The 15,756-nt window shown below is 48.8% G+C and overlaps 2 protein-coding genes across 2 annotated transcripts in view, besides 1 other annotated feature; both read right to left on the reverse strand.

Moving 5' to 3' along the window:
* Positions 1 to 15,606, reverse strand: part of PIK3R3 (phosphoinositide-3-kinase regulatory subunit 3) — a 134,762-nt gene extending 119,156 nt beyond the window's left edge. Inside the window, exon 1 of the mRNA NM_001328648.1 lies at positions 15,542 to 15,606. The gene's annotated coding sequence lies outside the window, so the exon portion shown is untranslated. The remainder of the gene's footprint in view (positions 1 to 15,541) is intronic.
* Positions 1 to 15,756, reverse strand: part of P3R3URF-PIK3R3 (P3R3URF-PIK3R3 readthrough) — a 136,349-nt gene that overhangs the window by 119,156 nt on the left and 1,437 nt on the right. The window lies entirely within an intron of this gene.
* Positions 7,718 to 7,787: an enhancer, noted in NCBI's record as "active region_993". NCBI's record gives its function as "activates an Ori minimal core promoter by ATAC-STARR-seq in GM12878 lymphoblastoid cells {active_cell/tissue: GM12878}" and the evidence as "EXISTENCE:reporter gene assay evidence [ECO:0000049][PMID:35858748]".

Raw genomic sequence — 15,756 nt, forward strand, 5'->3', positions numbered from 1 at the left:
AAAGCCCAGATTCAAACTCAGTTCTGACTCCAAAGTCAGATGATAAAGTTACAGTCATGTGGAACAAAGGGAACAGACTCTCCATGGCCCTTAAAGGCAAATACCTTTCATCATAGGAAGGCTTTAGAGAGGCTAATTTTGCCTTAATATAAGACAAAATTATATTATAATAAGACTGGATTTTGAGCATGATCCAGTTGTTAGCTGGGGCTCTCTCTGCCCCTTAAGGACCAGATAAGACTGGCTCAAGCCCTCATTCCCAAAGATTCCCCAAAATATTTCCAGAGATTACAGAAAATCCCCAGGACAATTACATTGTCATCATCACCTCCGGCTCTAAGTTTCAGCTTCCACTATCTGAATTTAGCTTGTAGATCACCACACATGCCACATGTGTTATCCCCGTCCTGCACCTGGTTCTCAACCCTCTCTATGAGTACCATACACACACACACACACACACACACACACAGAAAAACAAATCACTTACCAGGGGCATTTGTTACCAAACTTCACTGTCATGAGATTTAGCATAGCCAAAGGAAACTACCCAAATTTAATACTAAATTCTTGTCATTACCTTTCTGCTATGCCGTGTTGTTTTTTACTTTCCTTTTCCTCCTCTTTTACTCTCCAGCCCTCTCTTCCTGACTCCCAGATTCTCAAAAGCAAAAACACACAAGCAAACAAAAACCTCATTTTTTTATTCAAATCATGTAGCTCTGTTCTGTCCCTAAACTTAGTTCTTTAGCCTCTCCTTTTGCACAGCCAATGATTTGTCCAAAATAGTTGGTTCATCAGATTAGGTTATTCTTATCCTTTGTCTTATTTTCAGGCATGGGGATAATTTATTTAGTTCTTCCAGTTTATGAGAAAACAAAAACCAAAAATCTCTCCTTCAGCACTGACTCTCCAGTGATGGGACAGATGACCTCTTAAGACAGTGAGTACTCCATCCTTGGATTTAAGCAAGCAAAGACTGGACTGATATCTAACTAAAATACATGTAGGTCTGTGTATAAAACATGGAAGAAGAAGATGGTGAAGATTCTTCAACTTTCAGAACCTACGATTCTGTAACAAATTAGGCACATTTGCCTTTTCTGAACACCATGCAAAACCACAGGACTTTTTCAGTTGCATATAATAGAAACCTAGCTCAAACTGTCTTTTTAAAAGGGAGGATTTGTTGCCTCATTAACAGAAAACCCAGGCAGCTGAACCCAGGAGCTCAAAAAAATCTTCAGGTATGTGTCTTCTCCATTTCTTGGCATCTCTTAACTAATGTTGACTTCCATCTCAAGTATAGGCTGTCCCCTTGAATGGCAAAGATGACCAACAGCCATCTCCAGAACTACATTTTTCAGCTTCAGTCCTCTATCCTTAATCCCGTAATAGGAGAGAGGGCGTCTGTCCCATTTATTCCAGCAAAAGGCACTCATTGCCCCACTTGGGTGAAATGCCCATCACTAAACCAATTTTTGTCATGATTGGCCAAGATAGGATTTCAGTGCCCATCCCTGGAATTCAGGTGTGGACTAGGCCCAGTTGGAACACATGGACCAAGATGGGGAGGAGTGTTCCCCAAAGGAAAATGGGGAGACCGTAACCAAAAGGAGGAGAGACTCCCAGGAGTGTAAAAAACAATAATGGCCAAACCGCATCAATGTAGTTAAGGAGATAGTCTGATCAGTAGAGGAATTCACCAGTCAGATTGGACCACATCATTGACCTGATGAAACTATGCCTCTTGGTCCTCCAAGAAACTACTAAACACCCAAAAAGTAATGATTCACTTATCAAATTTGCAAGGATTTTTTTTTTGTCAGGGTCTCACTCTGTCACTCAGAGTACAGTGGCACAATCATAGCTCACTGCAGCCTTGAACTCCTGGGCTCAAATGATCCCCCAACCTCAGCCTCCCTTAGTAGCTGGGACTGCAGGCATGTCCCACCATACCTAGCTAATTTTTTTTTTTTTTTTGTAGAGACAATGTCTCACTATGTTGCCTAGGCTGGTCTCAAACTCCTGGCCTCAAGTGATCCTCTTGCCTTGGCCTCCCAAAGTGCTGAGATTACAGGCATGAGCCACTGCACCCAGCCAAGGATTTTTAAAATGTTAATACTCAGTGCTATGTCATAAAACAGGTACATTAATATCAGGGTGATGGCATGTAATTGGCACAACCTTTCTGGAAAGCATTTTGGCAATATATGTCAAGATCCTTAAAAATATTTTGATCCTCTGATCCAGTAATTTCACTTCCAGAAAAAATTGTAAGAAAATAATCCAAGCCAGGCATGGTGGCATGCACCTATAGTCCCAGCTACTTGGGAGGCTGAGCCAGGAATATCACTGGAGCCCAGGAGTTTGAGGCTATAATGTGCTATGACTTCACCTGTGAATAGCCACTGCACTCCTGTCTGGGCAACAGAACAAGACCCAATTTCAGAAAAAGAAGGAAAGAATGTAAGCCAAAATATCAACAAAGATTCATGCATAAAGATTTTCTTCAGGCCAGGCACGGTGGCTCAAGCCTGTAATCCCAGCATTTTGGGAGGCCAAGGTGGGCGGATCACGAGGTCAGGAGATCGAGACCATCCTGGCTAACATGGTGAAACCCTGTCTCTACTAAAAATACAAAAAATTAGCTGGGCGTGGTGGCGGGCACCTGTAGTCCCAGCTGCTTGGGAGGCTGAGGCAGGAGAATGGTGTGAACCCGGGAGGCGGAGCTTGCAGTGAGCCGAGATCGCGCCACCGCACTCCAGCCTGGGCGACAGAGTGAGACTCCGTCTCAAAAAAAAAAAAAAAAAGATTTTCTTCATAGTATTTTTAGAATAGCAAAAAATTAGAAACAATTTATACGTCTAAGGGTAAGAGTTTGGTAAAATAGGCTAAGCATGGTGGCTTGAGTGGGGTGGCTCATGCCTGTAATCCCAGCACTTTGGGAGGCCCAGGTGGGGGACCACTTGAGCCCAGGAGTTAGAGACCAGCCTGGACAACATGGCAAAACCCCATCTCTACAAAAAAATATAAAAATTAGCTGGGAGTGACGGTGTGTGCCTGTAGTTCCAGCTACTCAGGAGGATCACTTGAGCCCAGGAAGCAGAGGTTGCAGTGAACCGAGATCGTCCCACTGCACTCCAGCCTGGGTGACAGAGTGAGACTCCATCTCAAATAAATAAATTAATTAATTAAATTAAAGCGAGATACAAAACTGTCTATGTGGTATAATATTAATAATGTAAAAGAAAACCACATATACCCCAAAATTTAAAAATACATGATACTCTGATTTCCATATATAAAAAATTAGAGCAGTGTTTATTTATTTTTATTTTTCCGAGACAGAGTCTTGCTCTGTCGCCCAGGCTGGAGTACAGTGACACAATCTCGACTCACTGCGACTTCCACCTCCGAGGTTCAAGTGATTCTCCTGCCTCAGCCTCCGAAGTACCTGGGATTACAGGCGTGCACCACCACACCCGGCTAATATTTTGTATTTTTAGTAGAGATGAGGTTTCACCATGTTAGTTAAGCTGGTCTCAAACTCTTGACCTCAAGTGATCCACCCACCTCAGCTTTCCAAAGTGCTGGGATTACAGGCACGAGCCACCATGCCCGACCGCACTGTTTATTTCTTAAAGGATACTTTATATATTTTTTCTTTTTATTTGCCTGTATTTTTCAAGTTTTCTACAATGAACAAACATTACTTAAACATTATTTTGGAAGTCACCTGTTCTTACCTATGAAGAATATGGCCACCCCTTTATACCACATCAGGCTGCTTCAGCCTTTTGGACACCTGAGGGAAAATGCTTGATGGATGACAGATGAAGGTTAGCGACATTTCTTTTATGTCTTAAAACCTTCCCTCAATTATCCACAGAAAGTTTTTCTCATAATTGCCAGTCCTTCTTTAGACAGAATCTATCACTTCATAACATGATGCTTTTTTAAAAAGTAAAATAAAACTGGAGAACAGAACATAAACTTGTGCTGACCCTGATATGAAAATGAATAGACAACTGGGTTTCCAGCTGCTAGTGAAGTACCAGTGCAAAAGGGATGCCCCAGCTGACCAATGCCAGAGACTGAGGTAGAAGTGCCCCCATGTCAGGCTTGCCTGTGGGAGCTGTCTGCAGGAATTCCAGCTTGCCACTTTTTGAGGTCCAAGGACACATTCTGCCTAGAGGTCCTTCAGACAAAAAGGTCTCCCTCACTGCAGGAAACAAGTGATTGTCAATGATTACTAGCTAGAGAGACAGAAAACAAGATGATGCTTCTAGGACAACACAAATGGTACCACCTCCAGGAAGCTTTCCCTGTCTCCTTCCTGATCCCTACTACTCCCCAGATGGCATTCCTCCCCCAAGGAACCATGGCCCTGGTGCTTTCCCTGCCCTCTTAGAGCAGATGTCACCATTGATGATGTGGCAACTGGTACTGTGAGAAGACGTCACACAGACCTTCATTCACCTCCTGGCTCTGCCACTCAATTCCTGAGCCTCAGTTTCCTCAGCTGTAAAATAGAGACGGTAATCTCCACAGCACAGAGCACTGTCCCCCTCCTTGGATTCTCTTTGGGAACAGTCTGACAACCCAGTCCTTGAGCTCATATAACATGATTGTGCCCAGAGAAACTGCCTGGCTGACCAGACCACAAAGGGAGATGCACTAGGACCAGCCCAGTGGTAGCAGGGGCACCCCCTACCTCTAAGGCCTTGCCAGTCAGACCTCCAGTGAGCCACAGCCAGGGAACAAACAACCAGCACTGACGAATAATACCTCTCCCATCTCTGGACAGAGTAGTTAACAGGTAGGAGGATTACAGGACTCCAATTATTGAGGATCTATCTAGGGGTGTGGTCATAGGCATGTCCAAAACTGAACTCAAGCCTCCTGCCAAATATGTTATTCTTCCTGCTCCCTGTCTCAGTGAATAGCACCACCCAGGACCCAAGCTGGAAATTAGGATATCATCCTCATACCTCCCTCTCACTCAATTCCCATTCAATTCATCACCAAGACCTGTCACTTTTACCTCTCAGCTCCATCCATTTCTTTCCATCCCAGGGCCAACACTGTGGTTCATACCACGATCCCTCTCCCCTGAGGCATTACCACAGCCTCCTCTTCACAGGTCTCCTTGACTCCCCACTGCCCCACAGGGAGCTTATCTCCTGCTTCTGCTGAAAACCCCTCAAGGGCTCTCAGGATAAAAACCAGCTTCAACAGGAGAATCGCTTGAACCCGGGAGGCGGAGATTGCAGTGAGCCGAGATTGCGCCATTGCACTACAGCCTGGGCAACAAGAGCGAAACTCCGTCTCAACAACAACAAAAAAAACTGGCCTCAATAACTCCAAGCCCCCCACCTTGCCCCAGTCTGGTCCCTGCTTACCTTTCTAACCTCGTCTCTTTCTACTTCCTGTCTTACACCTGTAGTTTCCCCAGATTTTCTGTCCTGGCTCTTACCTACCTGGTTTTGCTTATGCTATTCCCTCTGTCATTAACATCCTTCTCTTCCTCCCCACTCCCCCATCCCTTTTTTTGAGATGGGGTTCTCACTGTGTGTTCCAGGCTGGAGTGCAGTGGCATGATCATATCTCGTTGCAACCTCAAACTCCTGGGCTCACAGTATCCTCCTGCCTGAGCCTCCCAAGTAGCTGGGACTACAGGTGCATCACTATGCCCAATTAAGTTTTCTACTTTTTTTTAGAGATAGGATCTCACTATGTTGCCCAGACGGGTCTCAAGCAATCTTCCCGTCTCAGTCTCCCGAGTAACTTCCTCCCTTTGTTTCCCCCAGACCAGCTCCTACTCATATTTTGAGATTTAGCTCAGATTTCTACTCTTCCAGAAGACTTTTTGCTCCCCAGTTTGCCACACATACCCCCAAACTAGGCTATGTGTTCTTATTGCTGCCATTTAGGGAGCACTATTCAAACACCTCTGATGCCTTAACTCAACCCTCACAACACCTAGGTATTTCTATTCTTCTTCTTCTTTTTTTTTTTTTTTTTGAGATGGAGTTTCACTCTTGTTGCCCAGGCTGGAATGCAATGGTGTGATCTCGGCTCACCACAACTTCCCCCTCCCAGGTTCAAGTGATTCTCCTGCCTCAGCCTCCTGCGTAGCTGGGATTACAGGCATGTGCCACCATGCCTGGCTAATTTTGTATTTTTAGTAGAGACGGGGTTTACTCCATGTTGGTCAGGCTGGTCTCGAACTCCCGACCTCAGATGATCCGCCGTTCTCAGCCTCCCAAAGTGCTGGGATTACAAGCGTGAGCCACTGCGCCTGGCCCCTATTATTCTTACTTTACAGATAAGAAAACTGAGGCTTGGAGAAGTTGAAGCAAATTTTCCAGGGCCAAACCGTAAGTGGTTCAGCAGTGTTGAAACCCAGGTCTATTTATTTGTTTATTTTTAATTTAAACTGCTGCTTTGTCCTTTTTTTTTTTTTTTTTTTTTTTTTTTTTTTTTTTTTTGAGACTGAGTCTCACTCTGTAGCCCAGGTTGGAGTGCAGTGGCGCGATCTCGGCTCACTGTAAGCTCCGCCTCCTGGGTTCACCCATTCTCCTGCCTCAGCCTCCCGAGTAGCTGGGACTACAGGCGCCCGCCACCGCACCCGGCTAATTTTTTGTATTTTTTTTAGTAGAGACGGGGTTTCACCTGTGTTAGCCAGGATGGTCTCGATCTCCTGACCTCGTGATTCGCCCGCCTCGGCCTCCCAAAGTGCTGGGATTACAGGCGTGAGCCACCGTGCCCGGCCTGTCCTTTTATTATGAAGGTACCAAGAAAAAATAAGAAGCACTCTTTTTTTGGTCAATTTGGTGAACACACTTCATCTGGTATGCATAGGCACTCAATAATACCATCTGTCTATTCCTATGCTTATAGGCTTTTTTCTTTTCTTTTCTTTTCTTTTCTTTTTTTTTCTGAGACAGAGTCTCGCTCTGTCGCCCAGGCTGGAGTGCAGTGACATGATCTTGGCTCAGTGCAACCTCAGCCTCCCAGGTTCAAGCGACTCTTGTGCTTCAGCCCCCGAGTAGTTGGGATTACAGGTGTGCGCCTCCATGCCTGGCTAATTTTTGTATTTTTAGTAGAGACGGGGTTTCACCATGTTGGCCGGGCTGTTCTCCAACTCCTGGCCTCAAGTGATCTGCCCGCCTCTGCCTCCCAAAGTGCTGGGAGGCGTGAGCCACCACACCTGGCCAGGTCATACAAGCTTTTTACACCACAAACTGCAGTTCTCTTTTCTGAAGCTGGAGCCTCTGGAAGTACACAGCACACCCCTAGTTCGGCATGCCCTTCCCCCACCCCTCCTTCCGGTCCCCAGAAGCTTCAGGCTGTCAGGCCCTTGAGTAGTAACTGCTAGTGAGCCCACTTCGCTTCCTTGCGAGGGTACCTCGAGGATGAGAACAGTAATCGGTCGAATTCGCTAGTCGTGTCCAAACTGCGTTTAGACAGGGACAAGCAAGACAATGGAGCCGCTTTCCGGATAGGGGACGTGGATTCTACATCCTCCACCCCACGCCCCCAACCTTAAACATGCTTGCCAGCCTCAAACCTTCAAATTTTCTTTACCAAAACCCAGGCTCAGACCTCGAGACCAGGGTCCAGCCTGTTTAAGGAGCTCCCCAGACCCCGCACTTCTAGCTGCGTTCAACCAGGCTCAGGAGGTCCTTCAAGATCTTGGCTTCCTTTTCCTGACTCCGCGCCCGGCGCGGTTAATTATAGCCCCACCCCGCGACTACCTGCTTCGCTCCCACCCGCGCGCCCAGGACCCTAGCTGCGGGACTCTAGCGGGGAAGGCACCCCCAATTCTGGGCCCTGGCGACCTTGGGTCAGGGCCAGGAAAGGCACTTCCAGCCAAGCGCTGGCGCCGGGTGCGCCTCGCTTTACGGAAAGAACGCCCCGCGAATAAATCCGGAGCGGATTTGCATCACAGCAGCCGCGAGAAGGCTAGCTGCTGCCAAAGCTCCGAAGCTCTGGATGTCCCCATCCCTTCCTGGTCCAGAGACGAGGGTGTGGGGGGATGGGAAATGGGGCAGTGGGGAGGAAGCTACTGCAAGGAGGGGGTGTGCACCCTGGCCTTGAAACCTGGGTGGAGGCGCAGCTAGCTAGGTGAGGAGCAGCCTCCTCCTCTAGGCCAGATCTCGAGGTGGGCCTGGGTTCTCGTGGAGGGAGATAAGGGTAAAGGCTTTGTGTGTATGTGTGTCTTGGATTAAAGGAAACTGCCAGCCTGGAGGTGGTGAGTATAACAGCCCCCACCTCTACTGTTAAGAATCTCCCAGCTGTAGTCTCACCAGGTTCCCCCTACCTGCTCCTTCTGGGGTCCTCATATCCCTGAGGCCTGCACCTTGGTGACTACTGTGTGCTCACAGAGCACAGGCATCCTGACCTCAAGTCCTGGCCCTGGCTATACTGCTGCCCTTCAGTCATCTCACACGGCCAATCAGTGCCCGCTCTGGGCTTCCACTCACGCTGTTTCTCAATCAAGAAAGTTCTTTCCCCTTTGCATTAGCTAAAATTTTGCCCATTCTTTAAGCCCAATTTAAAAACTACCTGTGGCCGGGTGCAGTGACTCATGCCTGTAATCCCAGCACTTTGGGAGGCTGAGGACAGCAGATCACTTGAAATCAGGAGTTTGAGACCAGCCTGGCCAACATGGTGAAACCCTGTCTCTACTAAAAATACCAAAATTAGCTGTGTGTGGTGGCGCATGCTTGTAACCTCAGCTACTTGGGAGGCTGACGCATGCACTTGAATCTGGGAGGCGGAAGTTGCAGTGAGCCTAGATCACACCACTGCACTCCAACCAGGGCGACAGAGCGAGACTCCATCTCAAAAAAATAAATTAATTAAATTAAATTAAATTTAAAAAAAAATACCTATGCTATCTTCTGTGGAGCCTCTAGGAGGTCTGTGTCCCTACTTCTCTAAGCTCTTAGTATACTAAGTCCAAGCCTCTCTTTTAGCCCTGACATTTTTCTTGGTGTGTCTGCTAGTCTGTTTTCTCCATTAGGGTGCAAGCTCTCAAGAACAAGGACCACGACTGATTCAGTTCTGTGTCCTTGGTGCCAAGGGGAGTGTTGGGGACAGCAGTGGTTCTGTGTGACCCTTGGAAGGGCCTGTTCCCTCTCTGGACCTCAGACTCCTTCACCCTTCCAGTGAGGGAGCTAAATGAGATGACCCCCAGGGCTGCCTCCAGCCCTGACCCTATGAGCCAGTGACCCTATCAGCCAGTGGCTGGATTACCCAGCCTCCTTATCATAACCCAACCTTGGGCAGGGCAGAGCCGGGCTGGAATCAGGGGATCTGAAATCCTCCCACCTCCCTTGGATCAGTTAACTGAGGCAATTGTGCAAGATTGCTGGGAACCTCAAGGCAGTGAATCTGGTGTCAACACATCATGATGCTATCCCAGCTGGAAAGTCCCCCTGCCCCTGGCTCTGGAGGCCTGACAACTAGCTCCAGCTGGGGATGGTGGGGAGGGTGAACTGGCACATCCCAGAAAGTGAAGAAGCCCCCTTTACACCCCCTCCTCAACACACACACACTATCTCCAGGAACAGTGGCATAGCCCCTCAACTCCCTGAAGACCAGTTCAGGACCATTCCACTCTCCACTCCAACCTCCTCACCCCCAGTTCAGCCCAGCTATCTCCAATCTGAGCTGAGACTACCCAGAGTTCCCAAATAGAAGGAACCTTGGTTCAGCTTTTTTCACAGCACAAAAAGCTGTCAGCCCCTATTGCACTTACGAATGGAACTCACTGCCTCTCAGGGCTGCATGGACCACTTCTTCCTGAAACTCTCATCCATGGACTTACATTTTACCTATTGAAGCCTCATGGAGTAATGCTAATCTGAAACCACAGCCCTCAGATTTAGACAGACTTAGTTGAGATTCCAGTTCTGTTACTCCCTAGCTGGATGATCTTAGGCATCTTATCTACCCTCCCTGGACCTCTGTTCCTTCATCTATAAAATGGGAGCAATGATTTATACACAAAGAGTGGTGGTTGTGGGCGTAAGATTTATGAAAACACCCATCATAGGCATTGACACATTTAGGATGTCAAATGTGGGCATTATTTTTATTCCCTATTCCCTGCATTCTCCCCTGAAGCTGCCTGATACTTTTTCTGGAAGCTGGGAATGGAGATACCTGAAGCTAAAACTTCTCTGGACAAAAGCAGGAATATACAATCCTAAAAGCTGCACTTAAACACAATTTTAGACTTCAAAAGACAGCAAAGGAGATTTGAGGCCCAGAGATGGGATAGAACTTGCCAAAGTTCACACAGCAGGTATAAGTAGGTAGAACAGCAGGCAAGCAAGGAGAGGGAGGCAAATGGGCGTGTGAGTAGAGGTCAGGGCTGAGGTATTGAGCTGAATCCAAGGACAGACAGCTGAGCAAGAAGACCTTCAGCTGACATTGCCCCATTTCCCATGCCCAGCAGGGCCTGGCATTTGCCTGTCTTTGGAACTGCTCCTTCTGGGTTCCTGAGTTTGCAGTAGTTTCCCAGAAGTGCTAGGTAAATACCTTTGTTGTTTGCTGAATAACCAGCCCCAAAGATTGGACAAGGGTCCCCATACAAATTTTGCCTCAAGATTGGCTCCTTCTATAGAGATGATCAGCCCCCCTAGGCACAACCCCACCCAGGTGCTCTCCACAGGGTCCTCTATCAGGGCCTTGCTGGGAGCTCTGAACCCCACCACATGGAGTGGCTTCGGTGTGCATCATGTGGCTCAGGGCTTAGCACCTTTGAAGACAGTCTATTCCTCCCAGCCACCCCGAGAAAAGCATGGAGTATTTTCTGTTCGGTACCTTTCTTCCCAAAAAAGATAGCCATTCCAATATGATAAGAAGTCTTACTAACCTTTGGAAGGAAATGTCCTGGGCTGATGGTAACTGCAGTTATGGGGAAGCTGGAGATGCTGGGGTCAGCATATTATGCTACTTGATGATTCTTTCTTTAGGTTATGTTTTCTTTGTTTGTATAATTCTGCTTTCTCTATCCCCACCTGCTGCCCCCTGCCCCTCATCTTCAGGAACCAGAAATGTGTTCTCATGGACAAAGTCTGTCTTCTGTCTGGTTTGGTGTTTGTTTGTTTGTTTGTTTGTTTTGAGACAAAGTCTAGCTCTCGTCCCCCAGGCTGGAGTGCAATGGCATGATCTCGGCTCACTGCAACCTCTGCCTCCCAGGTTCAAGCGATTCTCTTGCCTCAGCCTCCCAAATAGCTGGGATTACAGGTACCTGCCACCAAGCCTGGCTAATTTTTGTATTTTTAGTAGAGACGGGGCTTCACCATATTGGCCAGGCTGGTCTCAAACTCCTGACCTCAGGTGATCCACCAGCCTCAGCCTCCCAAAGTGCTGGGATTACAGGCGCGAGCCACCGCGCCTGGCCCTGCCTGGTTTAAGCTTATGTGTCCCAGGCTCCCTACCTCCCCTCAGTGTTCATGTGTGGACACCTTTGCCTATCCCCAGCAGGAAATCCTCTAGTTTAGACAGCCACCTGAATGTAAGGGCTTTATTAATTGATTTCTCAAGATGTCCATTTCAAGGATATTCTAATTTTGTCATCTGGAACTCAGTAATGCCACAATTCTGAATTTCTTAGTTTCTATAACCCAGATTTTACCATGCTGGAATTCTGTGATGCTAAGATTCCATAACTGTGAACTCCATGAATCTAGAATTTCATGATTTTTTAAAATTGTGTTTAATGAATTTTGTTGGTAATAGTAGTCAGCACTCTCTTGGCCTCAGTTTTGTGTTTGTTTTCTAGAAGTTGCAAGTCTCAGCTCCAGGCTCTCTTCTCTGGGCATGCCGGTGCAGAGGAAGGTCATTTCCACCTCTCCCGAGGCTCAGGGGTTGGGATAGTACCCAGGGAAGCCCAGTCCTAGGGCCCAACACTCAGTCTACTCCCTCTCTACTGAAAACTCTTACTTGGGCTTCAGTACCTGAGGGTAGCAGGAAAAGCAGTCTCCTTTGCAGTCCTTCCACCCAGCTTCCTGTCCTCCTTGCACTGCCCCATGGTCCAGGGAGAGAAAGTTTTGTGGGAGACTGCCCTGGCTGAATGGGTAGGTGTGGGAAGAAGGGTTAAGCACTGGGCAGAGAGCCAGTGGAGGAACCAGGGGACATTCCCTAGGGAGCCCTGCAGCCTTCCCCAGAGGTGAGGAAGGAACAGAGGCCGGAAGTGGGGGTGTGGGTGAGGGCACTGGTAAGGGTGGGGTGACCGGTATTGCATTGTGGGGTTGGAGCTGGGCTTCCGGCCATTGACCTATTAGTGACAAGCGACCTCCAGCCTGGCGCCCCAGGGGCTGTCTGTTCGTGCCCTTACCCACTGACTCTGTGTTCCTGTGCCTGAGTCAGACTCCCAGGAAAATCTCGGGGGCAGGAGTTGGGGTCTGGGGAACCTATTTCTCTAGAGCGGAGCCACAGAGGCGAAGAGAGGGGCCAGGACACTCCAAGGATCAGATCAGGGCTTGGGGCAGAACCAAGACTGAAGCTCCGGGCTCCTGCCTCTAGCCCAGAGCTGTTCTCTTCACGGTCCAAAGGGTCCCAGAATTATAAAGTAATACTCCCCCAACTAGCCAGGTGGTGAAACTCAGGGCTAGAGGAAGAGCCCGTGCTAGGCTGCCTCCCAGGAGCAGCCTGGACCTTCTTCCAGTCCTGCAGCACATGGCTGAAGCTGCCAAACCCGATTTTCCAGTGGCTGCCTGAGGCTGGCTGGAGCGGGAAGCCCTCCTCCTGGCATGAACCCTCAGGCCATCATCCTCCTCCCCCTCACCTCCCGATTCGGTGGCTTGGCCTGGCCTGCTCCTCCTGCACCTGTGCCAACTGTCCCAGTGTGCCACCACTTCCTTCTCCACCTGCCTGCCATCTCCCCTGGGCTGCTCCCCAGGCACTGTGAGGTGTGGTCCAGAGCTGTCCATTTCTGAGCCTCGGTTTTCTCATCTATAGATGAGGAATAGTGGCCTGCCTCCCAGGGATTGACTACAGGAAGATTTCAAAGAAAAGTGAGGTGGTAGGGGGCAAGCAGTAGCTCACGTCTGTAATCCCAACATTTTGGGAGGCTGAGGCGGGAGGATCACTTGAGCCCAAGAACTGGAGTGCAGTGGCATGATCTTGGCTGCAACCTCCACTTCCCAGGTTTAAGTAATTCTCGTGCCTCAGCCTCCTGAGTAGCTGGGAGAACCTGTTTCTACAAAAAAAATGTTTTAATTATCTAGGCGTGGTGGCCTGCACCTGTAGTACCAGCTACTTGTGGGACTGAGGTGGGAGGATAGATTGTGCCCAGGAGACTGAGGCTGCAGTGAGCTAAGGTCAGGTCACTGCACTCCAGTATGAGTGACAGAGAGAGACCCTGTCCCTAAAAACTAGGCAGGGGAAAGGGCTGAGCCAGGTGGCTCATGCCTGTAATCCCTGCACTTTGGAAGACTGAGGTAGATGGATCACTTTAGGCCAGGAGTTCAAGACCAGCCTAGCCCACATGGCAAAACCCCATCTCTACTAAAAATACAAAAATTAGCCAGGCATGGTGGCACATGCCTGTAGTCCCAGCTACTAGGGAGGCTGAGGCACGAGAATCACTTGACTCTGGGAGAAGACGGTTGCAGTGAGACAAGATTGCGCCACTGCACTCTATCCTGGGCAACAGAGCCAGGCGCTGTCTCAAAAAAAAAAGAAAAGAAAAAAGAAACAAACAAACAAAGAAAAAGGAGATATGAGTATCATGGGCCACCAATTAGTTGGATGGTGTGTTAGTGCCATGTTGGGAGCACAGCCTAGGGTGTGAGAAGGAAGCACTGCTCTGTGGAATTCTGGAGATATGGTTGTTAGGATGAAGGGTGCAAGGTAAGGGCTGTATTCCCTCTGATTTCCTCAGGTTATCTCACCTATGGGAGAAGGAAGAACAGAGAGAGGCAGAGAACATCATCGCAAACGGAGCCCCTGTTACAAGTACTCAGAGACCTCCTCACGATTTAATGAAGAGCTTGTGTAATCTGTGTAATGTGCCTCTCACTGAGCTATAATTCCTCTGGGAAAGAACTCCCACTGCCTTGCTCACTGCTGTATCTCCAGAATTTAGTACCATCCCTGGCACATAGCAGGCACTGTTGACTGACACAGAGTTGCAGATTGAAAAGCAGAAGCAGAGGCACCTTAAGGGGTGGAGACCATCTAGGTCAGCTCAGCTAACCCAGGCCCTTCCAGCCTGAGAGCCTGGTGTTCTCAGCCACCAGGGAACTCTGGCAGGGTGGGAGAGAGTGGGCTGCACCCGCTCATCCGGGAGCCACCTAAACTGAGGTGGTGGGTGCCCTCTGGCTGCTGCTGCCTCTGGGAGCCTAGATGGGGAGGAGAATTAGGAACCTGAAGGGGGAGGGGCAGTGAAGAAGCCATCATCGCAGATACAGCTAAAAATAGCTGGAAGAGATGATGTCATCTGGTTCCCACAGCTTAGCACCCCCATCATACACACACTCGAGCACAAACACACACTCTCACAGACACAGATACACACAGACACAAGTGTGGGCATGAGTGCATGCACACACACATACTACACACTCATATAGGGGAGGGAGGCTTCTGGGTCCCAGGGCCGCAGGGGCAGGGAAGTCTGGTGAGTGTGTCTGCATGCGTGTATGTCTGTGTGTGCCTGGGTTTGCATGAGTGTGAAGGCATGTGTCTGCATCTGGGTGCTTGTGTGCTTGTGTCTGGGTGCATGCATGTTTCTGTCTGTGTTCATTTAGAGGCATGCGTATGTGTTGTTACATATATCGTGTGGGGATCTATGCATTTGTGTCTGCGTATATCTGCTTATAGTATGTGCTTGCATGCATGTGTGTGGTTGTTGCAGTATGTGTCTATGAGTTCACTTATATTTACATGTCTGCATGTGTTTGTGAACTGTGTCATGTATCTTTATATGTATGGCCCCTCTTGGGCCCTTGAGCATGGCCCAAGCACCTTCTAGCTTTGACTGATGTTCAGCAACCCCCATCCCATAACCTGAGGAGCCCAGCACCGTCTGGGCATGGTGTGTCAGTGAATTCTCTGCCTCAACCCCCCTCAGGGTCCCAGTCTCTGGCAAGAGTTGGGGTAGATAGACATAAGCACAATTCACTTTCCCTTCACAGGCAGCAAAGGACATTAGCCACACTTCCTGAACCCCAGGGGGCCAGGCCACCAAAGGTCTCAGGGTTCACTCCCTTCCCTAGCCCCTTGGGAAGGTAGCCTGGAAATGCAGCCAGATCTCGGACCGGTGCAACACGTATTAGCCCATGCATGATGCAACATATTCGAGACAGAGTCCTACAAAATGTTCCCAGCGACTAAGACACAACCCCACAGAAACCCGGTTACAGCCAGTGACACATGAGCACACACTCAGAAATCCAAATGGAAAATCCCCAGGCCAGAGAGCTTAGCACCCTCCCTACTTTCTGGGCTCAAACTCAGTCTTGCCCCACCCCTAAGCACCCCAGCTCAGCTGCCAGTTCTGGAAAACACTGACCTCAGAGAATGGTTGAAGGGCCGAAGGTAGTATGCCTTTCTCAGAATCTCACCCTTCTCCATGTTCTCCTCCTTTAGGCTGTTCCCCATCCCCCTCCTGACCTTCACTTTTCTTACCAGGGCTGATGTCCTCTCCGGCACACCCATACCCTCACAAACGCTCCTTGACACTCACAGTCAGTCACAGAGGCACATTAAATCACAAAGGCACATTCA

This window comes from Homo sapiens, chromosome 1 (genome assembly GCF_000001405.40).
Source record: "Homo sapiens chromosome 1, GRCh38.p14 Primary Assembly".
Lineage (NCBI taxonomy): Eukaryota > Metazoa > Chordata > Mammalia > Primates > Hominidae > Homo > Homo sapiens.